The sequence below is a fragment of the Homo sapiens genome, chromosome 3, assembly GCF_000001405.40.
Source record: "Homo sapiens chromosome 3, GRCh38.p14 Primary Assembly".
Lineage (NCBI taxonomy): Eukaryota > Metazoa > Chordata > Mammalia > Primates > Hominidae > Homo > Homo sapiens.
The window spans coordinates 12888303-12914417 of record NC_000003.12 but is presented as its reverse complement, the minus strand read 5'-3'; the positions used below and the strand labels follow the sequence as shown (position 1 = coordinate 12914417).

Sequence of the window (26115 nt, the reverse complement as noted above, 5' to 3'; positions counted from 1 at the left end):
GCCTAGAGCACCCCTGGTAGAGTCAAGCCTCTGGCCTCAGGACGGTGATCCCGGGGATCCCACCCCTTTGACCGCCTCCCCCATCCTGCATGAACCTGGGCACTCCCAGAGCCAGGCCCTGATGGCTCATCCCTCGCCCTGAGGCATTGGGCCTCAAGGGCAGCTGGAGCTATGACCGTGTTGGGAGCTTTCGTGAGCTGTCAGGGGCATGTTCAGGGTAGCTGTGGGGAGCAGAGGACGGGTCCAGGGCAAGTGCCACAGAGTGTTGGCTGCTGGCTCAGGATTTTGGAGAGTCTTTCAGGCATCAGGACCATAGGAATCTTTTATGGGGAGGCTTGGTTGGGTGGGAAAAGTCCTGGGGCCTGGAATTGGATCCTGGCTCTGCCACTTCCTAGTTTTGTCGTTACTTCTGTGCCTCAGTTTTTCCTCATCTAGAGCAGATTCTCTCTGTAAAGACTTTTGCAGGGCTGAGTGGCCTCATGTTTATGACCGGCACTTGTGGGGACTCAAAATGTGACTCGCTGTCTGGCCAGAGGCTCCCAGGTGAACGTGATAGTTTAAGAAGCCTGGTACCTGCCCAAAAGAATGGAAAGGAGGTCTCAGCAGAAGCTGGGGCACGTCCCTAGTCCTTCAGGAGAGCAGAGATACGGGATTTTAAATAGTGGCTCCTGAGAACAGAGTACGGGAAACTGCCATGAGCCAAAAGACGTATCTGCTCTTCAATGTCTGTGAGGGAAGGCATTTTTTAACTCAAGGCCCACGTGCCGGGTTTCTAGCTTGAAGGGCTAGACTTCTCCACTGCGGCCCCCAGGGCTCCTAGAGGAGAGCTGGGCGGCCGTGGCAGGACAGCCTCTTCCCACACAGGTGCTCTCTCTGCCCCACCGTCGGTTGGTCTGCTACTGCCGGCTCTTTGAGGTTCCAGACCCAAACAAGCCCCAGAAACTCGGACTACACCAGCGAGAAATCTTCCTGTTCAACGACCTCCTGGTGGTATGTGGCTCACCCACAAGGCATTGTAGCAGGGACCTCAAGCCTGAGCCCAGGGTCCATGTCTGGCTGTCTGCGTGGGGAAGATGTGCATGCATGTGGGGGTGCAAAAGGGAGGGTTTGCCTGGTGTCTTTCACACTGATGCACATGAAGACAGACTTCATTGGCTCATGCACAGGTCCAGAGGGAGATCTTTGGCTTTAGTACCAGCTGTTTCCAGAGCCTCTGCCAACGTCAGCAGCACTCCTGTGTGCTGTCTGCACCTGTACCTTGTGTGACGCTTCCTCGGGCAGGCCCCTTCCTCAGACAGGCTCTGTCCAGGAAGGGGAAGGTGGCCCCAGCAGCTCCAGACCTGATCCTGTCTGCTGAGCAACTGTAGAATCCTCTTCCTAGACTGAGCAGAGGTTGCAGAGTTAGCGCTTGTCGCTGCACATCCCTCCCTAAGCCTCTCCAGGCCAGGCAGGTGCAGTGCTTTCTGATTGGCTAGGCCTAGGTCCCAAGCCCCACCTCCTGGAGCCCTGAGCTGGTCCCTGCAAGACCTATGGACTGAAGGAAACAAGGGCTGGAGGTTTCCCCAAAAGGAAACTGGGGAGCTCTTGCCAGAAAAAAAGGTGGCATGGATGCTAGCCAGACGGGGGCAGAAGTGCCCACTGCAGAGAGAAGGGAGAGCTTGTCCTTTGGATTTCTGTACCCCTGCATGCCACGGGCTTTCTTGCCAAAGATGCCCATGTTCTTTTTTTTTTTTTTTTTTTTTTTTTTGAGACGGAGTCTCGCTCTGTCGCCCAGGCGGGACTGCGGACTGCAGTGGCGCAATCTCGGCTCACTGCAAGCTCCGCTTCCCGGGTTCACGCCATTCTCCTGCCTCAGCCTCCCGAGTAGCTGGGACTACAGGCCCATGTTCTTGATTGGGTATGAGGACTGGCTAACCCTCTCTGACCACTGATGTTGAAATCAGACGTGTAAGTTCAAATCCTTTATGAAGAACTCCTGACCTTGAGCGAATCCCTTCACATCTCTGAGCCTCAGTTTCCTCCTCTGTAAGATGAATCTCTCAGAAGGTGGCAGGGGTCCAGTGAGGTCCTGGACGTAAGACCTTACATGGTGCCTGGCATGCCCTGGAGACCGGGGAGATGTGAGCTCCCCTCTCCCCTCCCAGCCCAGCCTTTGGCTGCCACACTGGAAAGTTCCTTTCCTACTGTAGACCAGAATAGCAGCCAAGGACCGTGGCGGGCCAGCTGGGATTCAGGGATCACGTCGCTAGCCCAGGGGCCAGTCTCCCTGCAGGCCATCACCAGGCATAGCTTCACACTCTGGTTGTTCCCGAGAAAGGAAGCCATGGCTTCTTACCAAGGTCAGCGCTAGTGAGCACCACCTGTCCATTCCTGCCCCTCAAGGTGCCAAGCCCCGGGTGTGTACACCTCACCTGGCTGTGAGAAGGCACTTGAGGGGGCTCCGTGCTGTGAAGTGCCTACCGCCTCTATGTCAGGTTGTGGGGCTTTGTTGCCAGCCAAGATGGCATCGGGGTTGCGGGGACAGGAACCGTTGTCCGAGTCTTGGAGTGGAAGCCCATGCCCTCCACTCACGTGGGCTTGTCCCTGTCCTCCTGACTTTGAACTCCAGGAGGATCCTCTGACCAGAGGTCCCACATAGTCAGTGCCCCCCGAGACACTGTAGCTCAGCTCTGTCTCTGGCTGCCTCTAGGTCACCAAGATCTTCCAGAAGAAGAAGAACTCGGTGACGTACAGCTTCCGACAGTCCTTCTCCTTGTACGGCATGCAGGTCCTGCTCTTCGAGAACCAGTGTAAGTCTGCCCCCAGGGCCTGCCTGGAAGAGCGCATGTCCCAGCTTACGCTCTTTCTCCTGGCTGCTTCGAGGACAGAACCGCGGGGGGCTTCGACGCTCACCCCTGTTTTATCCCCAGAGAGCAGATTGCAGCTAGGAGCTCCGGTGAGCTGTAGGCACAGACCCTCAAGAGGCCCATCAGTCAGCTGAGCCTCATGTAATAACACTGGACAGACACTCAGTTTGCTTTTACTGGTACTTCGTTTCTTGCAGGTGATAAGATTTTTAAATTTATGGCAGAAATACATTTATGTAAATGTTGATAGAAAAACATTAAGTCATAGGTGATATGCAAACATGGCCCAGAACACAGGTGACAGCAACCCATGAGTGTCCGCGGAAGTGAAGAACTGAGCCCCTCAGCCTGGGTCAGATCCCAGCTCTGGCTCAACTGCTGTGTGGCCTGGCTCTGCAACCCCTCTGGCCTCTGTTGCCTGGGTTGTAAGGTAGTGCCTGCCACAGGGCCCCCATCATAGCTGCCGGAACACAGTGCTTTGCAAGGGTTAATTTTGATGCCCTGCTGGAAGGCCCTGGGTGAGGCCTGGGGACCTGGGAGTTTGGGAGGCTCACACCTGCAGCACCCCACTGGCTTCCATTTTACCTTGCTCCTTTCACTCTCCACGGCTTCTCTTCCCCCTCCTTTGTCCCTTCCCTGTTGGAGGCTGAGCCAGTCCTCCTGGGCTGGGGAGCAGGGGGCCACCTGGAGTGTCCTAGGGAAAGAAGCTGAGTGTCCGTGCTTGAGCAGTAGGGGTCCCTTATCCTCTCAGAACTAGGTGTCACTGTCTGTCTAATCAGCCTTCCATCTGCGGATTAGAACAGTGTCAGGGACCTGCAGCTGGACCATCCAAAACCACAGGCCTTGCGCCTGGATCTGGGGCTCTCTGTCCCCTTCAGTCTTCAGTGGGACCAGGGACAGCCCGGTAGGAGACCCTGCACTCCCTGTATGCCCTGCTCCCCACGTGCCCAACAAGGGGCATGGCATGCCTGCCCTGGCCGCCTCCCCACCTCCTGCCATTCCTGTCCCATCGCAGGCTGCAAGTCATGCCTTGCCTTGGTCCCAGGGGAGGCCAGTGCCATCCCCACATTGTCCTGACCAGCAGTAGCCTGCTCTCTGAGATGGTGGCATTGACCCCTGCTGCCCAGGGCTAGGGTGGGAACTTAGTGAGATCCTGGCAGCAAAGCTCCCAGCAGGGGGCCAGGACCACTGTGGACCATCAGGGCAGAGGCTGCACCTGGATCATGTCTATGGTCCCAGGGCTTGGCCTTAGATCGTGGGTGCCGGGTGCTGGCAAGAGCCAAGCCTGCAGCTTCTATAGGACATGCCGTCATTCCAGGGGTCTCAAACTGACAGCCTGGGAGGCAGGCCCAGCTCAGTTATCTTTTATATGGTTTGCATATTTTTAAAAAGTTTGCTGAGCCAGTCTCTACATCAAAATGTAGATATTTTGGGCCTCTCTGAAAATCAGAAGGTTTGGTGTCACTAGGCACATGTTCCCACGTGGCAGTAATGGGCTGCATATACATACATGTGCACACATATGCACACAGGAGCACTCTGCAGCTGCCCACAGGCCCACCTGGTCTGAGCCAAGGTGGGATTGGTACTTGGTCCAAGAACCTTCAAACATCCAGTGGCTGATGCTCTGCCAGTGACTCCCACTGCCGGAGCAGCACCGCCAGGAGACCAAAGCCCCAGGGACCCTGAGAGCCCGGAGGTGGCACCAGGCAGGTCTGGGCACAGGGTTCCTTGGCTGTGGAGTGCCCATAGTGCACCCCATGGGAGCTGTGGGCCACAGGCCATTCGGGAGAATATGGCGCTCACTGCTGTCCAGAACTGAGATGACTAGAGAAGACTCCCACCTTTCTCAGGACGCAACCTCTGTCCTCCTCCAGGACGCGGCCCCAGCAGCCTCCCCTGAGCTCGACCACTTTTGTCCCTGAGTCACATGTGGAGCGACACAGACCATCTTTCCCAAGTCGGGAGATGAGGTTGCTCTGCACCCCTGCAGCCTGCCACTGCGGAGGCTGGACTCCCGGCACTTATCCCAGGCTCACGCACAACTCAGCCCTACCATTGTTTCCTGACCAGAGAGGAGATTGCAGAGAACACACTGAGACCCGTGGGCCTCCTCCCCTCTCCTTCCCTTTTGCAGACTACCCCAATGGCATCCGGCTCACCTCGTCTGTCCCCGGAGCAGATATCAAAGTGTTAATAAACTTCAACGCCCCCAACCCTCAAGACCGGAAGAAATTCACCGATGACCTGCGGGAGTCCATTGCGGAAGTCCAAGAGATGGAGAAGCACAGGATAGAGTGTGAGTACCAGGCCTCATGGACAGAAGGCCGAGACTTGCCAGACTCTGGCACTTGCCTCCCCATGTCAGGGCAGTGACTTCTGAGCTCACAGAGACAAGATGTCCCCCAGTCTTTTCTGGCCTTCCCTATGGCCACATGATGGGGCAGTCTGTGTTCCCAGGCTGCAGGAGGCACAGAGGGAGTCCAATCCAGGACCCGCCCTACCTGTTGCCTGTTGTATGTCCATCAAAAGACCCTGGCTCTCTGGTCATCCCGTGCGCAAGAGCCCGCAGAGTTCCCAGCTGGCCTCTCTGCACCTCGTCATCTTCTGCATCAGGCTCAACCGACTGATGGGTCACACAGCCAAGGCCATCCCTGGCTCCAGGTCTACTCCCTGGCTCCAGGTCTACTCCTTGGAGGCACATGGGACTCCCTACCACTGCCCTCTCTGTGGAAGACCCTGGCTAATCTTTGCTCATCTCTCAGACCCAGGCAAGTCTGTGCCTCCCTGTCCACTCCCGAGCCTGGAAGGTGACTATCCTTCCTGCAGGTCACAAGGCCCTCTGGTCTCTCTAGCCTCCCTCCTGGGATCTCCTTTCTGCTCTTTTGTCCAGGGTGGCCATCACACCCTCTTTCCCAGAAACAACCCTTCCCCATTCCAAGCAGATGGTGGCTCAGGACAGTGCTAGCTCCAAGCAGAAGGCCCCGTCTCCTGCCCACTCTAGGCTGTGCTCCTCTCACCAGGACCCTCACCCTCTCTGTTCCAGCGGAGCTCGAGAAGCAGAAAGGCGTCGTGCGGCCCAGCATGTCCCAGTGCTCTAGCCTCAAAAAGGAGTCGGGCAACGGAACACTGAGCCGGGCCTGCCTGGACGACAGCTATGCCAGCGGTGAGGGCCTCAAGCGCAGCGCCCTCAGCAGCTCCCTGCGGGACCTCTCGGAAGCCGGTAAGAGCTTGGCCTAGAACCACCTTGCTAGCCCAGCGCATGCAAGACCGAGGCAGGGCGTCTGCATTCAGGGCATGCATCACGCGGGGCAGGGCCTGCGGCGAAGCCAGTGCGGCATTTCCCCTGACCTTCCGCAAAGCAGAGCAGCGTGTGACATACAGAAAGGGCGCCCCAAAAAGACACAGGGAAACAGGACCCAAACGTCAAAAAGAAAGGCATTGCACACGAATTAGCTGGGGAAGTCACCCCCATTTTCCCTTTCTTCTTCCAGGGGTTTTATTTACTTGTTTATTGATCTGGGAAGTCGCTCTAGCCCGAGTGAGCCGGCGGCTGTGTCCCGTGCTCTCTGTGCGGCCGCGTCCCTGTGCTTCATGCTGATGAATGAACTTGCGCGGAACCCTCTAATCTGTCTGGCGCCCCCTTGCCCACTGTCCCCGGTCTTGCTTTCCCTGCGGGGCCTCCTCTCCTGGGAAACCCGGGCCTCGTCCAGCCCAGAGGCCATTGAGCAGCAGCCAGGGCTGGCTCCGGGGTCCGGGAAAGCCCTGGTGGGAACTGTGATGTTGTGGTTGTTTCTTTGTTTCTGTGTGTGTTTAATTTGCTGCCAGCTGTTTAACCCCCAAGCAAGCAGCACCCCTGAAACTGCCTACATTCCTGGGAGTGGGGCACCGGGAGCAGCAAGGCTCAGGGGCTTTTGCCAGCAGCTGTGGCCCAGGCTCTCCCTTGTGGGGCAGGAGAGAAAAGAGGCACTGGCCGACCGGTGGGTGCCGGCTCGTGCCGCTGCAGGCTGTGTTGCTGCTCAAGGAGTGTACGGGAGGGTATCGTAGCCGCCCTCCGCCGAACAGTCTGTCCACCAGTCAGCGAGCTTCTCCCAGGAGGGGCCCCGGGGACTGCCTGGGGCTGCAGTGGCCCAGCTTGTCCCACGCAGGTCTGCCCCAGGAGCCTGGTGTGCCTGTTTTGGGAAGACCCCCCCATTCCTGGGGTTGCCTGCCCCACCTGCCCCACCTTAGGACTCCCTCCCGCACCTGCCCGTCAGCAGCCTTGCCTCCCCTCAGCTTAGTCCCTCTCAGGCCCTTTGGAGTCTGCCCTTTAAGTTGGATTTTTTCCTTTGTTTTCGTTTTGTCATTATTATTATTATTTGCCATGGTAAAAAAATCAGAAATTCATTGCCAGTTGCCAGCATGAGGGTTGAACCCAGGGCTTCTCAACCTCGGCTTGATTGACATTTTGGGCCAAGTGACTCCTTGCTGGGGGACCGTCCCGGGCTTGGCAAGATGTTTACTCGCATTCCTGGCCTCTACTACTGGTTGCCAGTAATATCTTCCCTGTCATGACAGTCACTGATGTCTCCAGAAATTGCCAGGTATCCCCTGGGGGACAGAATCATCCCTGGTTGAGAACCACTGGTTTCCCCAGTGGCCTTGTGAAACACAGCTAAATGTCACTGGACTGCTTTGGGCCTCTGCAGGCTGTGGGCTAGAGCCTCCGTTTGAGTTTGTGCAGTGTGACAGGCCCTGCCCTCTCCCTTCCCTTAGCCCCTCTCAGGCAGCAGCAGTTCTGCCAGAACCGAGGCCCTTGAGCGCCATCCGCCCCAGGGCCCAGCAGTCAGGACCTCAGCTGTCCACCCTCTGCCAGAGCTTGGGGGTTGGACAGCCACGTGCCGGCCCCAGGTTCGTGTGAGGGGTGGGCCCACGGCCAGCTGCTTTCATGTAGTGTGACGATTGCTGTTGTCATTTGGGAATTCTGAGCTCAGACGGACAATAGGGACTGAGACCCCACCCTGGGCCTGCCATTGAAACAAAAGGAGGAACAGATCTCAGGGACCCCCCTGTACCCCGAAAGGTTTGGGGGTGAAGCGAGGTGGGGTTTGAGTCCAGGCAGCTGCCGAGGCCCCAGGCTGGGGAGAGGCCACCTGTGATCTCCCATCGGGACAGGCAGGTGCTGGCAGCCTTCCTGGGGAGGGGCAGGGCTGGCAGCAGGAAAGGTCAGATGTGCTCTGGACCAGATGGGGGCTGCAAGCTCCCCAGCGGCAGCATGGCCCCACCTCACTCACCACGGCCCTCACAGCACTGAGCCTGAAACACCACGATGAGCTTGTGGAAGAGGTGAGCCTGCGGACAGTGTCCCCTCCATGTTTGACACGTCACTGCTCCTGGGGCAGGAGACCCTGAGAGCAGCTGTCCCAGGTCTGCACTCGACATCCATCCAAAGGAGGACATACCACAGACATGAAGCCAGGGGACTGATGAAGTGGCCGTAGATGGTGCCTGAAGGAACCCATCCTCAGGAGACTGCAGAAGCCTCTGTTGTGCCAAGAGTTAGAGGGAAGGGGGCTGGCGCCGGCCCCACTGCAGTGCATTGCCTGGCGTCTCAGCCCTGGTCTCCCTTGGGCTAAGACTCCCCACCCGGTGCTCATTCCAGCGGCACAAGAGTCCTGCTGACCCAAGACCAAGGACCCAGCAAGGACTGTGGAAACAGGGTTCAGCCAAGTGGTGATGGACACTGACCAGTGGCCCCCAGCGGCCCTCCTGCCCCTCCCTGGCCAAGCTGCCCAGCTCTGAGTCCTTACGGAGAGGACCTGCCTGCAGCAGTCTCCATGTCCCGTTACAGGGGAGCAGTGACAGGCACCAGTGGTGGGTGGACAGAGAAGCGCCCCTGCCACGTGTGAAGCAGGCCAGGGCCCAGAGAGGGTGGTGCTTCCTCTTGCCCTGGCCACATCCCTCCCCACCATGTCAGGCCCAGCAGAGAACATGGTGCAGCACGCAGATGCCAGAATCAGACAGCCTGAGCTCATCCCCCACCTCCGCCTGCCCTCTCTAGCGGTCAGACCCTGTGGGCCCGTTTCCCCAGCTGCAGCGAAGGAGTCGATGCATGGAAAGCCTTTCAGGCATGCCTGGCTCAGGCAGCGCCGGCCGAGTGTGCATAGCTATCATTTCTGTTATGGTCACTGACACTGAGCAAGGCCACCAGCCCAACCACAGCATTGTTGAGGGTCACAGGACGAGGATCCTGGGTGGGCAGGAGAGCACTGCCACGTTACGCCCTGCCCTGACTCTGAGGAAGCTGAAAAGGTTGTGAAGAATCATCCTGGGAGCCCTTCAAGAAAAATGGTTCCAAGTCCCTCCAGGCTCTGCCCAGGGCTGGCTTGGCCTGATCAGCACGTGTGTGGTGTGAGCCACTATTCTGGCCTGCCTGACTTCATCAGCCGGTGAACCAGGGCAGGTGTGGGAGGCTGCGTACGCATGGGATATCTGCACGGCTGGCTGTGGGCAGTTATGGTTGTGGGTGTACCTGTGAGCACAGGGCTCTAGGACTCAGCACAGAGGGAGCCCTGGGGTCACCCTGCATCTCTTGCTGACCTGAGACATTGAGAAAGTAGATTGTAAGACACTCAGCGTCACTCCAAAACAGCCAAGTAAGGAACTCCTAAGTGTTCACCCAAGTTGGGCAGGGTAAGGAGGGCCATGTTCAACTCCAGGTGGGGACACTATGTGGACCCCCAACCCCAGCCTTCAGGGCTGGCCCAGGTCCTGTCAGAAGCTATAGGCCAGCCAGAAGGAGTTGCCGGTTACAGACGGGGAGGCCATCTCCCCTCTGGCCCTGGTTTTTAGTCAGCCAGAGGAGTCCCAGGCGTTAGGGGTAGGCTAGAGAGCTGATTTGAAAACCTAGAGACATTGGCGCTCTGTCCCTCCACATTTCCACATGGCGCCACAATGTCCTGAGTGTCTGATGGCCGTGGCCACCCAAGAGGGGGGTGGAGGAGGGAGGCCATGTCCTGGGAGGCTGGACTCTACTTTGCTCCATGTCCCTGGACCACTGTGTTGGGCAGGAAGGGAAGAAAGGTCAGCCCTTCTTCCCACACTGGCTGAAAAATAAGGAAATGTGAGCCTCCTCTTACTTCCGGCTGAGAATTAGGGCCAAGGTTCTACTTGGCTGTCCTAGTCTTCAGCAACTGGTGTTGAGCCCTCTTGCCCTGATGTGCCGTGTGGCCCTTTCCCAGTAGTGGTCTCTGAGGGCCACGTCACACAAGCCAGAGCCACCCAAAGCCCTTTGCTGACCCCAACTCCCACCTGGACCTCTGGTTTGGGGTCAGCAGACAAGGCAGAGGAACTGGACTCCCCTGAGTCTGTGCTGTGATGCCCAGGCCGAAGCCATGCCAAGGCACAGCCCAGCACATTCAGATGGCACGGGGAGGCTCGAAGCCCACAGCACTTCCTCCACCTGTCACTGGCTGGTGGCCTTGGGCTAGCTGGGAGGTGCAGTAGCTTTCCCAGAGGCTGGGGACGGGGCACAGTGGGGAGGCCCAGCAGTTGCTTCCTTCTTCCAGGCTCCTGGGCCCAACCCGGCCTAGGGTCCAGCTCTGAAGGCAGCATGGCCAAGTTATCCAGCCTTAGAGGCGGTCGGGTGAGCAGGTCTGGGTGTGAACCCTGCTGCCTGTGAGAATTGGGCCTCAGTGTTCCTCTCTCTGATATGGACACAGTGGCGCCTATAGGGTTGACATGTCCAGCGCAGCGCTCAATACATGGTGATGCTGCCCAGATGGAAGCTTCTAGAGTGTCAAGTGGGGAGGACTGTTTCTCTCTCCCTCTTCCCATCCCCACTCCCAGAGAGCTGGGCCCGTCATGCTCCAGGCTTGGTGTTCCTCAAAAAATCCACGGAGAAGTCCTCAGGAGGGACTGTGGAGGCTGGGCGGGGCCAGGCCGGGCCTGGGCCCTACGCACCCAGAGCCAAGAGGAAGACCTGGCCTTGCTCTGACGGACCCCGCATGCCGAGTGCCTACTGTGTGCTCTGCGCTGGGGCGTGACGAAGATGCTGGCAGAGACCTCCTGGCTTAGGGAAGGCTTTGTGGCCCCTTTGGGGGGTGGTACCAAGCAGAGGAATCCCAAGCTGGAAGGCGGTTTCCGGCAGTCCCCAACCCTGTCTCCTGCCCCTGGCCAGGGCACTGCACAAACCAAAACTGAGCTCCTGCGGGCAGCTGGGAGGAAGCGGGGATGTGAAGTTGTTTCCTCTTCACCCTCAGTGCTCGTCCTGCCAAGGAGGTGGGGGCATATATGTGTGTGTGCGGATATACACATATATATGGCAATCACTGAAGGTAGGCATGCAGTACCTGCCATGCTGTTTGCAGCTATGTGGAAGCTGCCCTCACCCCTCCCCATTCACCCGAGTCAGGGGTGAACACACAAGTTGGGGGCGTCAGGCCCACCTGTACACATGCCTCAGCCCCAGGGTCCCTCTCAACAGACTCCTGGTCCAGGAGGAGTACAAAATTGGGGCTGGTTTAAAAAAGAATTTTTTTTTTGCTTTTCGAAAACTTTATTTTTAAAATTCATTCTTGCACTGCTGCTGGCTTCCCCACTGAGCCCCTCCTCCGACCCCTCACACCTGGCTCCTGCGGGCAGGTGGGCCCGGCACCTGTGCCTGCTCCCAGCAGGGGTGCAGGCTCCGTGGCAGCAGCGTGGCACCAGGCAGGCAGCACCCCCAGCCTCATGTCCGCGTCTAACTTCTGGTATTGCATGTTCTGGGCAGGGAAGCGAGGGCGTCGCAGCAGTGCGGGATCGCTAGAGAGCAATGTGGAAGTAAGTAGGAAGCGCCTCTGTCCAGCTGGCTGTCCTGTGTCGCCTTCCCCAGTCCTCAGTTCATATCTGTTGTCCTGGTTTTTTTTTTTTTTTTTTTTTTTTGGTTTTTTTTTTGTTGTTTTTTTTTTTGGCTTTTCCTTCCCCTACTGCACAGAGATGCAGACACCCACTCCCTGCCCCTGCCTGCCTGGAACCCTGTGCATGTCAGCTTCTCCTCTGTGCCTAGAAATATCCATGCCTCTCACCGCTTGTTTTGGACTCAACAGTGGGGGTGGTTCTGGATTTTGTGTTTTGGTTTCTGCTTAACCCCATCACCTGTGGTCCCTGAGCATGGTTGACCATCCCCAGCTTCCGGCACCCCCGCCCGGGCCACCCGGCTCCCACTCACCCTCCACACTTGCTGTTGGATGTTTTTGCTGAACCCTTGACTTCCACGCCCGCCCATCCTCATCGCTTTCTTCTTGGAGTTTGATTGCTGTGTGTCTGCGGCAGGACACCATGGAATTGCTTAGCTTGTGGGAGGAGGAGTGTCTTGAGAGAAAGAGATTCAGTGTGGATTTCATGATATTTCACTCATCCTCCGGCCATCTCTGTATTACTGTTCACATCTCTACCTCAGCTTGCAGATCTTTTTCTGTTACCTTCTTTTTCCTTGTTTGGTTTGTAGTAGGCAGCTGTAGTGAAATGCCTAGGCAGCCCATTCTCCCAGAGGACAAGGTTTCTGAGCCCCACCTGTCCCTGTCACCACCTCCCCCGAGACCTCAGGACCCACATGGGCGGAGCACATGCCCTCAGCCCAGTTGAGCAGTCCCAGGAGAGCTGAGGGCCCTGTTTTCAGCAGGAGCAGGGCTCCTCCTCCAGGCACATCAGCCCCTCTGCACTCGCCACACACAGCGCACAGACACCCCAACCTAGGGGTTCCAATTTGAAATCTCAGGCTGCTGCCAGGGCCAAAGTGCTTGTCAGAATGAGACCAGAAGTCCTACTTCTGCCGTGGTGGTCAGAGAGATGGGCCCCTCCCCTGCCCTCACTCCCCACTTTGGTCAAGGCCAGTAACCCCCAGCTGCCCTGCACTGTAGTGAGAGGAGGCGGGGCCCAGTCCAGCCTCACTGAGCCCCACCCTCTGGCCAGTGAGTTGAACTAAAGCTTAGCAGTCAGTGGGTGAATTTTTACATTTGAAAAAAAAAAATCATTCTGACCTAAGTGCTTGAAGATCTTTTAATTTTGATTTCTATGAATTTCCTTTTTAGGGGTCCATCATTAGCAGTCCTCACATGCGCCGGAGAGCTACATCAACACGAGAGTGTCCATCTCGCCCACACCAGACTATGCCCAACTCATCTTCCCTCCTGGGCTCCTTATTCGGGAGCAAGAGAGGGAAGCCCCCTCCCCAGGCCCACCTGCCCTCAGCCCCAGCCCTGCCACCCCCCCACCCACCGGTGGTCCTGCCTCACTTGCAGCACTCTGTGGCTGGCCACCACCTGGGGCCCCCAGAGGGGCTGCCGCAGGCCGCCATGCACGGGCATCACACCCAGTACTGCCACATGCAGAACCCTCCCCCGTACCACCATCACCACCACCACCACCCACCCCAGCACATCCAGCACGCACACCAGTACCACCACGGCCCCCATGGGGGCCACCCAGCCTACGGGGCCCATGCCCACGGCCACCCGCCGCTGCCCTCGGCCCACGTGGGGCACACAGTGCACCACCATGGGCAGCCCCCTGCCCCGCCGCCCCCCACCAGCAGCAAGGCCAAACCCAGCGGCATCAGCACAATTGTGTAGACAGCCTGGGTAGGGGTCCCAGGCTCCCTGAAACACCTGCACACCACACAGGGCACGCCCGGGGGTCGCCAGCCGCACACCAAACCCGGGGCACTTCTGTTGCCATCTCTCCCCTCTGCCCCTCACGGCCCAACCGGAGCCCCAGGAGCCCACAGGGCTGGTGTTGTGTGGAACAAAGGCCCAGATTTCATTTCTTGTTGGCACCCTGGGCTCTGCTCACCTCAGTCTGAGGGATGGGTGGGCCTCAGACACCATCAGCCTTGAAACGGTGAGCCAGCCAAGTAGTGTTGAACTGCCTCCCCCACTCCAGCTCTCAGCTCCCTGTGCCCTAATGTACATGCATATGAAAACCCAACCTAGAAAACGAAGAAATGAGATACAAAAACAGACAAAACAAACCCCAAAACTTGCTGCATTATTGCTCTTTTATTGACAATGGGCAAAAAAATAAGTAGACCTGATATGGTTGATGAAAATACGTAAGTAAACTTTATATAAATATATAAATATATAAATATATATATATATATACTGTATAGGTAGTACTTGTGTGTGAAAGGCAGGCGTTTCAGTCCACATTAGCAATACCCACCTTACAAGGAGCTCCACTTACCTAATAGGAAGACAGTACCTTAGCTGGGTGTGTGAGACAATAGACCAAACCCTAAATGCTAGGAACAAATTCAGATACTTCATATTTTCATACAAAGAAGTCCCTCTAGGACTGGCTAAAATCTTTACACAATCATTACTAACTGTGCCAAGTAACATAGCATCTAACTGTTTAAAAAGTCCAGTATTGCTTTGTATAAATCCTTATTTTATTAACAGAATACTATCATAAATAGTATTATAATGCTGTTATTTCAGGTAAGCAAATAGCTAAACTGCAGTACACTCTACAGTAGCAACTCAGGACAGCTGGTTACAAGCTGGTTGTCTTAGGACATTGGTTACACGGATTCTTAGACACTTTAATGGCTGCGATAACTGTGACTCTCCATGATCCATGTTTCTTTTATGCGCATATGATTTGACGCACACTCATTCAGAGTCCTCCGAGAGGGGCACCCATACACGGCAGAAGTGTTCATCTCCAACATGAAAGTGACCAGCTCTCATCCTCGTCTCCCCAACACCATAACGTCCTCATCCCGCCTCCAACCCACACCAGGCCGAAGCCCTCAGAGAGTGTTTTCATCAGGAACCACTCTCGAACCTGAAGGTTGACTTTAGCGTTTAGCAACCCAGGGCGGTGTGTGTGTTTCCCGTTTTGTTTTCTGAGTGGTAGCAGTGATCACCGTAATTCCATGTAGCCATGTGCTAGCAGAACCCCTGTGTCCTCACCGTGGCCCGTGTGACCCCAGCCGACGAGTGCCCGGCGGAGCCCCCGCTGCCTTCCCATGGTCCAGTGAGCTGCCAGGGCATCACATGACTCTCAGCTGTGCTCTTGTCGCTTCTGTGTTGTGGTGACACCATGCGCTCCCCAGGGCCAGACCTGCACGCGGCAGGTCTGTGCCCGAGTCACCCACGGGCCATACTTTGTAGTTTCAGCCTTTCGAGCCACTGCAGCCGTCAGTGCTGTGCTCCTAAGCCATGGGACCCGAGGACTGCCCCCCGGCGCCTGCCCAGGCGGAGGCCCTTTCAGAAAGGGCGAAGCTCACGCCTGACTCTGCGGGCCGCGGGGCCGCGTTCCCAGTGGACAGCGTGGTGAGCCGTGGCCGGACGGCAGGAGGAGAGGGGAGCCCCCTCTGGCTGTGTGTCACCTTGGCTGGCTGGCTGGCCAGGGTTTTGCCGATTTCCCTCCTCACATCCCTCCCACCCTCGGTCATATCATTGAGATCACCGTACCAGCAAATCTGCAAACCAAGCACTTTGTTAATCTCCAGAGAGAGCAAATACAGCAATCTAGAGTTTAGCCTTTTTAAAAATGTGACTTTAACCCGCCCACCTGTGTCCTCCCATTGGCGTGGCATTTCTTTGGTGTCTGCTCAGAAAGAAACAGCATGGGACCGTGTGATTGGGTCCAGGCTGGGCTGTCAGGGAAGCGCCCTGGTGTCTCCGACTCATCAATTCTCGGGTCTTTTTTAAAAGCCAGGCTCCCCAAAGCACTCTGTCTCGCAATTTTGAGGAGGCTGTTCCGACCTGGAAGCGTTAAACTGCTGCATGTCATCTGGCGTCAGCTGTGAGGCTGCGCTCTGCGTGTTGTGCGTTTGCAAAATGTATTGGCGTGACTGTAAACACATCGTTGAAGTAAAGCGATTACATATTGAGTATGTCAGCTTTTCTCACCCTCTTCTGTGCTGGGAGGAGAGTCTAACTGTAACCTTTAGGTTGTTCCAGAAAAGATTCAGGCCGTTTGGCACAGAATTGCTCTTTCTGAAGGGTAGCAGTAATGAATAGGAACAGACAGAAAACCCCAGGAGGGGCTTTCAGGAAACTCTCCCTCTCCATCGCCATCCTGCAAGCTCCACAGCCTCGGGCTGCCAGCCTGTGGCACTGTCCTCGGTGTGTCCTGGAGCTGTGCTGGGCAGCAGGGCCTCGCGTAAGGAACTGCTGGAACCCACTGAGCCCTTCCCGGGGTTTCCCGCCGCACTCAGTGTGTTCCTTCAGGCTAGTGAGGTTTCATTCTGTTTTATTTGCAAGCTTATCAAAAGTTTGTGGAAGATACATTGTTGGGTTCCAGAGGCTGGAGTCATGCTGCCCACATCTTGTTTGGGAAAGCAAAAGCTCCCAGTGAGCTGGTGTCCCCGTGTGTCTTTCATGGGACTGTCCCCTTTAGAGATCCCACCTGTCAGAGCCACAGCTTCGGGGTCCTGTCATCACATCCCCTGGGAGGGGAGGCAGGAGGAGGCCGAGGGCCCCAGGATGTCTGCCTGGTCCCTTCTCACTGTGAGGACGCCCTTGGCACACCTTTCTCAAGTCACACAAATTACTGCAGTTACATACAGAATTGCTGACAGGAGCAGGAGACGCTGAGGGAAACAGCTGGCAATGTGACAAAAGTCTTTTCTGGGACAACAATCAAATCATGTATTTGTATTTTTTTAAGTTTACCAATGAATTGTACAACAATGTAAAAATAAAGTTCATCCTAATATGCTGTGCACATCTTGCTTAAAAATGTCTTCAGCACCCAGTGCAGTGATCTTTCCCTCACACACTGCATGCAGCAGGAGCCTCTTGTTTTTCTTAATGAGCTGAAAAGACAGCAGATGTTCACAGCTGATGCTGGGTGTTGACTCAGCGCCACGGGAAGCTCTGTGCCCGCAGGTAAGCACGCACAGTCTTACAGTTCTCCTTGTAAAATATCATCACCCTTCCTGCCTGAGAAACGAGTACATTTGTATTTTATGTAACAACAATAGTCAAGGCAGCATTGCAACACTGAGCAGGGTGAGGTGGGGGTGCTGAGCACAGGACAAGAGGGAGGAGGCCTGCCCTCCATTCAGATGCATCTGCATCGCCCTTCTGTGTGCAGTCACATCGAGACTGCACACAGCATGCATCTCCTCTTGGAAAATATCTTTTGCCTCCGAGTTGTTTTAAGCAATTAGAATCAGGTCCTGAATCCCCAGACTGTTCAGAGACTTCAAGGGACACCTCCCTCACAAGAAGCCTGGCACCCCCACTGTGTACCTTTGAGAGGAAAGGAGTGCGTTTGTTTTCATCTGCATTCTGTTTGTCAGTGGCAACAGACTCTATCAATGTAAAACCATGGTTGTGATCATGTGGGGAAATCAAATAAATCCTTTGAAACTCTCGGATTCTCACTTTTTCTGAAAAGTCCAGAAGTTGCCCTGTTGGCCAGACCCAGATCTCCAGCTGATGAGTTTCCCCATTACTTGTTGTGACTCTGGGCACTCACTTTCCTTGAAGACATTGGACTGACTGAGGACACTGATACAAAATTTAAAATAAAGGGACACATCACAACCAATAGAAGGTTTCAAAGGTATTTATAATTTCTAGCAACTTTCAACAAGTGATGGTCCTTTCATGGAGTTAGAGGGGATGAATTCTATTAAGCGTTGAGGTACACTGATTATGACTTAGGGAAAAAAATACCCAGTGGCCCAGTCCCCAGTAAAGATGGATGATGACAGGAGTTCAGAGCAGCCTGCGTTTCCATGTTGGCTCATATCATGTACAAAAGCCAAGATGGTAAAGTCATTCTCCTGGAAGGAAGGGGCCTGTGAGGATGTAATTGGCTTCTGCGATTTCTCCTTTCCTGGCCAAACATAATTCCTGAGAACACCACTTTAAACTTTCAGTGCATGGGATAAAAGGAACTGGCAGATCTAACTAGTGGAAAACCAAACAAAAAAAAGTTAATTTTGGTGACCAAAATGAACTCTGGCCCTCCCTCCGTACAGCACATTCTGATTGAAAGATGTTCTCACAGGGGCCCCCTCTTCCAGTCTCATTCATAGCCACTACTGGCTCATCTAGACTGAAACCAGGAAACCAGCCATTTCAGTGCACACACACAAGTGCCTTGCACAATGCCTGTTTCTGCAACTGGGCGTCCATCCCTTTTACAGACTATTCAGGGGCCCTTCAAGAGAAGCTGGGTACAAAAATTCCCTGAAATACCCGGTTCTGCCTCAGGGTTTGATTTTTACTACGCAGATCTACAGCCCAGGAGCTGCTGGAGGTAGGTGAGCTAGGCCAGGGCTCCGAGGCGGTGATCTTCTGGGGATTGTGTTTGTCTCCCCCTGCCCTGAGATTGTGAGCTGCATGATCCGCCTGTGTGTGTCCAGTGACAGCCCCAGGACTGGGCTTGTCGGCATGCATCTATCTGAAAATTAATGGATGGCTGGAAGAGGCAGGGGTTCAGGTCACACCACCAGCAGCAGCTGGTGTTTGAGAATACCGATCACTGACATAATTAAAAAACGTATGGAAACCGGTTTGCTCATCCCCCCCACTTCCCTTAACACTTAAGTCTGGCTGGGAGACACCTGACTCAGACCTTGAGATCATGGTTCTTCCTCCTCCCTGGCTGCATGTGACTTCTGTGCCACCGAATCCCAGGAACATGTTTAGCTTCCCTGACCCCTCGGCAGCTGTGACTGTTCGTGCCTGCCTCCTTGAAATGCTGGTTCCCGGGCACCTCTGGGCCATGTGCCCTTTCTGCTCTCTGGAGACTCCTTCAGTCTCCTGTGCAGGCCAGTCCTCCTCCACGGAGCTCGTGTGTGGCTTAGGTCAAGTCCAAGCCCTCTTCCTCCCTTTCCCCTCTCCTGAGGCACCCTCACACAAGCCCACGGTTTCAGTCCACCTTCTCCATGCCCCTGGCTTCCACATGTCATCTCCAGCCCAGACCTCTACTCTGGGCACCCATGTCCCCTTGGTGTTTCTGACAGCCCAGCCCTGCAAGCCCTCCATGACCATGTTCTTCACCGTATAGCCCCATGCAGCGGAAACCCGGTCCTCTCCTCTGTTCCCTGTCCTGGTGAATGACATCACCATTGACCTATTTAAACCAGGACCTGGGGTTGCTCGTGACTTTCTCCCTGGTGTCCTGTCCGTCTTTCCCCGAACTCTTGATTTGTGCCTCCTGCTTCTTCTGGAATCCATCTGAGTCTCTTCACGTCTCACCCCACTGCAGGCCCTCATGTCTCTCTCCTCGACTAGAGCTCCCTGCCTTGGCACTGGCCTTCCTGGGGGGACCCCTGTCTATTCCCCACACGGGTCTTGCTCTGTTGGCAAAGCTGGAGTGTGGTGGGGCAATCACGGCTCACTGCAGCCCTGACCACCTGTGATCCTCCCCCCTCAGCCTCCTGAGTAGCTGTGACTACAGAGGCGTACCACCATACCTGACTATAGTGTTTTTTGTTGTAGAGACGGGGTCTATGTTGCCCAGGCTGATCTCGAACTCCTGGGCTCAAGCGATCCTCCCACCTTGGCCTCCCAGAGTGCTGACTTTACAGCCGTGAGCCACTACACCCAGCTGCCTAGACATGGAGTCATTTTTTTAAGGTGCTCCTGCTTAAAGCCCTATCGGTGATTTCCTGTTGCCCTTAGGAGGAAAGAAATCCCATCCTTCACATGGCCCCTGCCTGCCCCTCAACAGTCACATTCCCCTCACATTCCAGCCGTACCAGCCTTGATTGTTTTGTTACTGTTCATGCATGTCCTTTGACAGTAAAGGTCAAAAAGTCAAGACAGTGTCTGTCTTTGTACATACTGTAATCTCAACATGGAGCACAAAGTGGATTTCCTAAGTGAATGCTTTGGGAGCACAGCAGGAAATGTGCTACAACGCATGACACCATGTGGCGGCAACATGAGATCAGGGCCCAGAACATGAGGTGGGGACCGTGCTGGCAAGGCTCTGGGGCCCGCTGGCATGCCTTGTTAAGTAAAAATTGGGGCAGTGGTCAGAGGCTTTTAGACATTGTGTTTTAACTTATGTCGAGTGTCTTTTAACATGTAGTAAATGTAGTGAGAATAGATTGATGAAAAACAGGAAAAAAAAGTCCCCATAAGCTCACTACCTCAAATCACGTATAATTGAGTATGTGGCCAACTGTTCTTCCACCGTCCCTCCATACATATTTCTCAGTCACCTAGTTTACATCTCTGAAGTGCTTCCCAAACGGTACTGTCAGTGTTGCTTGGTGCCCCACGTGGAAAGTGTCATCGGTCACACACCTCTAGGGAACGATGCATTGCACGCAGTTCAATGCGTTTCTTTCTGCTGGACCTTTTAGAGCCTTTGGAAAAGATGGTGTGCATATATGAATAAATCTCTGAACAACAGCCTGTGCACTCTACAGAATACAGTTTAGTAACAGTGTGTGTGTGTGTAAATGCTATTCTTTTTCCCTTAATCCACTGTGATGAGGCAGTGGAAGACTCGACAATTTATAACGTCTGCATAACATTCCACCTTACGGATGTCCCATAACGTGTTGCCATGCAGACAGTGTTGTGTTGGCAAACAAGGAACAAACGGAAAGAAATAATCGAGTTTCTGGCAGAGTTGGTGATTCTGGCGAGGACTGGAGCCTGGAGAGGGGGACACCATGGTTCGACCACAATGCTGAGTCCCTGGGATGACCATGGACCCCGTTTTGGTGCTGCTGGAGGCCAGGTATCCCCTGAGATGCCTCTTAGCTCAGTGCATTCAGTTCAGTGCCCACTTTTCAAGAGACCCCATCTCACCGCTCAGCCCAGAGCAGGCCTGTGATAAAGACCTGGCGGCTGCTGCTTGTAGGCATGGGGTGAAGATCACCCACCCTCATTTCTAACGTGGAGCTTCAGGACTTTCAAGGCCCTCAGGGAAAGCTTTTCTTGTCTATTATTCCTAACCACACCCCACCCCCACCTCCACAGTAAAGTGTTCCAATTAAATCTGATACGTAGGACCTGAAGCACTTTGTCATTTTCTATGTAGTTAATAGGGAAGAACACATTCTAAAATGAAAATACCAGAGGATAATACCTGAATTGGAATCTCTTCTCACACCCTCTGAGAACTTTTCAAAGAACAAGGAGGGGCCACATGCTGTGACTCACCCCTGTAATCCCAGCCTGAGCAACATAGTGAGACCTCCATCTCTACAATATCAAAACATTAACCAGGCATGGTGGTGCCTGCCTGTGTTCCCAGCTACTCTGGAGGCTGAGGTAGGAGGATTGCTTTAACCAGTGAGGTCAAGGCTACATGAGCCATGATCACCCCACTGCACTCCAGCCTGGGCCACAGCGCAAGACCAAGTCTCCAAAGCAAAGAAACAGTCACCTATAGCTGTCAGACCTACACTGTGTTTGGGAAAGAGCAAGAACCACAAAATTCACTTAAAGGTCAGTGGGAAAATCAACATCTTAGAGCAGCAGAGTTGATGTAGAATCACTTGCCGGTGAGATGCAGGGGCAGGGGGGTACACAGCGGGAGAGGGTGGGGAGTCCCTGTGGAGGTTGTGCGTGGGGTGCAGGGGTTGGGGGGGTGCACAGTGGGAGAGGGTGGAGAGTCTCTGTGGAGGTTGTGGGTGGGGTACAGGGGGGTACACAGTGGGAGAGGGTGGGGGTCCCTGTGGAGGTTGTGGGTGGGGTGAAGGGGTGGGGGGGTGCACAATGGGAGAGGGTGGAGGGTCCCTGTGGAGGTTGTCAGGGGGGTACAGGGGTGGGGGTTGCACAGCAGGAGAGGGTGGGGAGTCCCTGTGGAGGTTGTGGGGGGGTGCAGGGGCAGGGGAGGATGCACAGTGGGAGGGGATTGAGGGGGTCCTCATGGAGGTTCTGGGTAGGGTGCAAGGGCAGGGGGCTGCACAGATGGACGGGGTGGGGAGTCCCCATGGAGGTCCTGGGTGGGATGCAGGGGCAGGGGGGCATGTGTAGCTGGAGGAGGTGAGGGTCCCCTTGGAGGTCCTGGGTGGGGTGGGGGGGGTGCACAGCTGGAGGGGATAGAAGGTCCCTGTGGAGGTCCTGGGGGGGGTGCAGGGGTGGGGGGTACACAGCGGAAAGGAATGAGGGGGTCCCCGTGGAGGTCCTGGGTGGGTGCCAGGGGCAGCCAGTGGGGGATGCACAGCCGGAGGAAATGGGTGGTCCCTGTGGAGGCGCGATGCACAGAGCAGGAGGAGGGAGCCGCCCTGAGAGGAGAAAGGCAGCCTGCTAAGCAAGAGCTACAGGAAGCACTTGGACAGGCCATCGGGCCAGAAGCACCTCGCAAGGGTGTCCGGGAGCTTTGGTGATGAAGGGCAAGAAAGAAGCAGCTAAGAGGGGGGCCTCATCACAGAGATGCTGTCAAAGATTCACCAAGCCCACCTAAAAGTATCTTTTATTACGGGAACTGCAATTCACCTTAGCAGCGCAAGAGGGCATGATTGCACTACCAAACCCAGAAAAGCACCCACGCATTCAAAAAACTGGAAGAGAAGGAAGAGAAAGGGAAAGGCAGTCAGCCGATCCGCTGCTGCACTGTTAGCAGGTGAGAGTCGGGTGATTTTATTGCAGCTGACAGTGCTCAATGATAGCACAAGGCCAGTTAGGAAAAGCGGGCACCGTGGGCATTAGCAGAAGTCACTATTACCAAGGCAGCCCTTGTGATGGCTCATTTTAGCAGTCAGCTTGACTAGGCTAAGGGATGTCCAGGGAGCAGGGAGAACGTGATTTCTCGTGTTTCTGTGGGGGGGTTCTGGAAGAGATGAGCACTTGACCCAGTGGACTGACTGAGGGCCACCCGCGCCAGTGTGAGCAAGCCTGCTTCAATCTGCTGAGGCCCAGATACAACCAACAGGAGGAAGGAGGGGAAATTTGTTCTATGCTTGACCTGGGACATCCACCTTCTCCTGCCCTTGCGTATGAGAACTCCAGGTTCTTGGGCCTCTGGACCCCATGTCTTAAACCAGAAGCCCCCAGGTTCTCAGGCCTGTGGCCTGGGACTGAGAGGGACACCACCAGCTGTTCTGGTTCTTAGGCCTTTGGACTCGAACTGAATTGCACCATGGGCTTTCCGGTTTTCCAGCTTGCCACTGGCATATCCTGGGGCTTCCTGGCCTCCTGAAGGGCATGAACCAATCAATTCCCACAATAAATCCCCTCATGAGTGTGTGAGTGTGTGTGTTTGTCCTATTTGTTCAGTTTTCTCTGGAGAACACTGACTAATACAGCTCCAGAACAAAAATAAAGCCTTCCTAAATACAGAAAAAAAAAAATAACCAAGCCAAAAAGGGAGAGTGGAACAGACCAGTCTTCAGAATGAAAGCCACACGAGGACGCCATACTCCACATAGTGAATTCACAACGGCAAACAACCTTCCAGAACAAACCAAAGACACCAGCTACATCAAAATGCAAGTATACCTAGCTCCCCTGCTAAGAGAAAGGTCTTTGAAGACCTTGTATCCATAAGCTACCGCCACCCTAGTTCTCTGGCAACCCCAAAGTGTGCAGGAAACAAGCACTGATTTCTCAGCCCCCATCTGCAGATGCACGGGGTTCCCCTGGTCTAGAACTGGGTCAGTCTGAGCCATAGGGGGTCTAGGACTGCTCCACATATCCCTCATTCTCCTGACCCCACCGGTCGAGGCCTGTCCTGGTCATGGCAATAGGCTGGAGTGCAGGAGCATGAGCCTGGCCCCAAGCACATAGCACACCTTTGCTCACGCCAGGTGCACCACAATCCCATTGACCACTTTGCTCCATGCCCAGCCCAGCGTCAGAGGGTGGAGAAGTGTTCCCTGCCATAAAGTGAGTCATAGCTAGGGTATAGACTACAAATACATTCCATCTACCCCAGACCACAAAGCAAAACCCACCAACTCTCTGCCAATACTCTAGAGGGACACCTAAGACAAAAATTCAGAAAGGCTAAAGGCTACCCATAAAGACGTGCATGGAGGGGTACAAGCTATGAAGCCAAATTAGACGAGGAAGCAAGTTACAGTCTTGATGTGTGACAGGGTAGAAATCAGCCTTAAAAACAATGCATGAGAAAGTGACTTGATAATGCTAGAAGCTGCAATTCCCAATGTAGACATGACAGGAGTATCTATGCACCACATAAAACAGCAGTCTTCAAAAAACGGAAACTGCAGGATAGGTAGGAATAAAAAAACACATTCATAAAGGTTAACATTGCCACTCTGAATCCAAGACAGGTTAAGAGGCCAAAATGAAATTATCTAGAAGCCTTCAGTTTCTCATGGATATGATACCAAGCATTGCGCTTCAATAACAGAGAAAACACCTTTCCAACCTCCCTTGAAACGTTTATGGAAACTTGCCACATATTAAGACACAAAGGAAACTTCAGTAATTCCACAAAGCAGAGAGAATCTAAACATATTCTCTAATCACAGTACAGTAAAACTAGAAATTAAAGACTCAAAAATTCCCTACTGGAAATGTTACTAACTCTATTAAATTACTCTTGGGTCAGAGGACAAATACAAACCACAACCATAGAATTTGTTCAAAATGGTAACACCTTGTATCAGAATCCATGATGCAATTAAAGCAATGAGGCAAAGAAAATTACATCCAAAATGAAAAAGAAACATCAAATGCAAAATTAGGAAAAGATTAAAGTAAACAAAGGAGAAACAGTTGCAAAATAACAAGCAAGGCTGGGTGTGGCAGCTAATGCCTGTAATCTCAGCACTTTGAGAGGCTGAGGCAGGCACACTGCTTTGAGACCAGGAGTTCGAGACCAGCTTGGCCAACATGGTGAAACCCCATCTCTGCTAAAACTACAAAAATTAGCCGGGCATGGTGGCTCACACCTGTGATCCCAGCTACTTGGGAAGCTGAGGCAGGAGAATCGATTGAACCTGGGAGGTGGAGGTTGCAGTGAGCTGAGATAGCACCACTGCACTTCAGCCTGGGAGACAGAGTGAGACTCCTCCTCAAAAAAAAAAAAAAAAAAAAAAAAAATCAGAACAAAGAAATAGTAAAGCTTATGAACAAAAAGCTGGTCTTGGAAAAGAAAAAAGAAAGTAGACAAACCTCTAGCTAACCAAATCAAGGTGACAAGAAAACGAAACACCAAAAATGAGAAACCAACACAGGACTGAATATTGAAGTGGAAAAAATGTTTAGAGTGATGATACTTTGAACGACTTTATGCAAATAAATTTGAAATGAATAATTAGCCAAAAGTGACTCAGGAGAAAAAGAAATCTTAAACAAATTCCCATGAGAGAAATAGAAAATGTAATTAACGGCTTAACTAGCCCATTTTGTTTCACAGGGAATTCTTCTGACCTTCACAACCAGATAATCTCACTGTTACAACTGTTTCTGATCACAGCAAAGGAAGGAAAACTTCCCAATGCTTTTTCTTGTCTTTTCTTTTTTGAGACGGAGATTCACTCGTCACCCAGGCTGGAGTGCAATGGTGCCATCTCAGCTCACCGCAACCTCCACCTCCCCAGTTCAAGTGATCCTCCTGCCTCAGCCTCCCCAGTAGCTGGGATTACAGGCATGCACCACCATACCCAGCTAATTTTGTATTTTTAGTAGACACAGGTTTTCTCCATGTTGGTAGGGCTGATCTCAAACTGGCGACCTCAGGTGATCTGCCCACCTCGGCCTCCCAAAGTGCTGGGATTACAAAGGTGAGCCACTGCACCTGCCTCCCAATGCTTTTTATGCAGTGATTTTGGCACTGTTTTCTAGACCTGATAAAAGTTACATAAATACAAAGCTGCATGTCACCAATAGAAAATTGTGAATCACATATCACACATATCAAACATCTAGTAGCATATTCCATATAAACTAATATACCTCATGACCAAATAGCATTTTACATCAGTAATGCAAGAACTGTTCAATATTAGGAAATCCATCATCTTAACTAAGATAAGAAAAACCAAGTGATCATTTCCCTGGCTGACAAAAGGGCTTCAACAAAATCCAGAACGAATTCCTGGTATATAAAACACTTAAATAAGTGGATACTTTTTTGGGAATGATAGAGTATACCTGAGTTCAAAAGCCAGAATTTAATTGAATGGAGAAACAGTGAATGCATTCTGTGCAAATCAGGGAAAAGACATGGTAAGCATCTTCACTTCTCTGTGACACTGTGTTGAAGGGTTCAGCCAATGCAATCAGATGCAGTTAGAGGCATCTGAATCAGAAAGGAAGAGGTGAATTTTTTTTTCTTTTTTTTTTTTTTTGAGACAAGAGTCTTGCCCTCTCACCCAGGCTGGAGTTCAGTGGTGCAGTCA

At 53.6% G+C, this 26115-nt stretch overlaps 1 protein-coding gene and 1 long non-coding RNA gene across 34 annotated transcripts in view; one reads left to right on the top strand and one right to left on the bottom strand.

Moving 5' to 3' along the window:
* The window catches only part of IQSEC1 (IQ motif and Sec7 domain ArfGEF 1), a 386215-nt gene extending 368840 nt beyond the window's left edge, over nt 1-17375 (top strand). For 17 of the 32 annotated variants that reach the window (XM_047449340.1, XM_047449339.1, NM_001376938.2 and 14 more), the window contains 6 exons: nt 865-990; nt 2690-2789; nt 4984-5145; nt 5893-6069; nt 11596-11645; nt 12896-17375. In XM_047449340.1, the coding sequence (XP_047305296.1) occupies nt 865-990; nt 2690-2789; nt 4984-5145; nt 5893-6069; nt 11596-11645; nt 12896-13435 (1155 nt within the window). In that variant the 3' untranslated portion in view covers nt 13436-17375. The remainder of the gene's footprint in view (nt 1-864; nt 991-2689; nt 2790-4983; nt 5146-5892; nt 6070-11595; nt 11646-12895) is intronic. The other 15 variants (XM_047449348.1, XM_047449347.1, XM_047449346.1 and 12 more) reach the window with 3 other exon arrangements.
* Nucleotides 1-26115, bottom strand: part of LOC105376956 (uncharacterized) — a 66549-nt gene that overhangs the window by 28475 nt on the left and 11959 nt on the right. The window contains exon 5 of one of the 2 annotated variants that reach the window (XR_940602.4): nt 20069-20154. The exons of the other annotated variant lie outside the window; for it this stretch is intronic. This is a non-coding gene — a long non-coding RNA (uncharacterized LOC105376956). Of the gene's footprint in view, nt 1-20068; nt 20155-26115 lie in introns of those variants that run through there. 2 annotated transcript variants of the gene reach the window in all.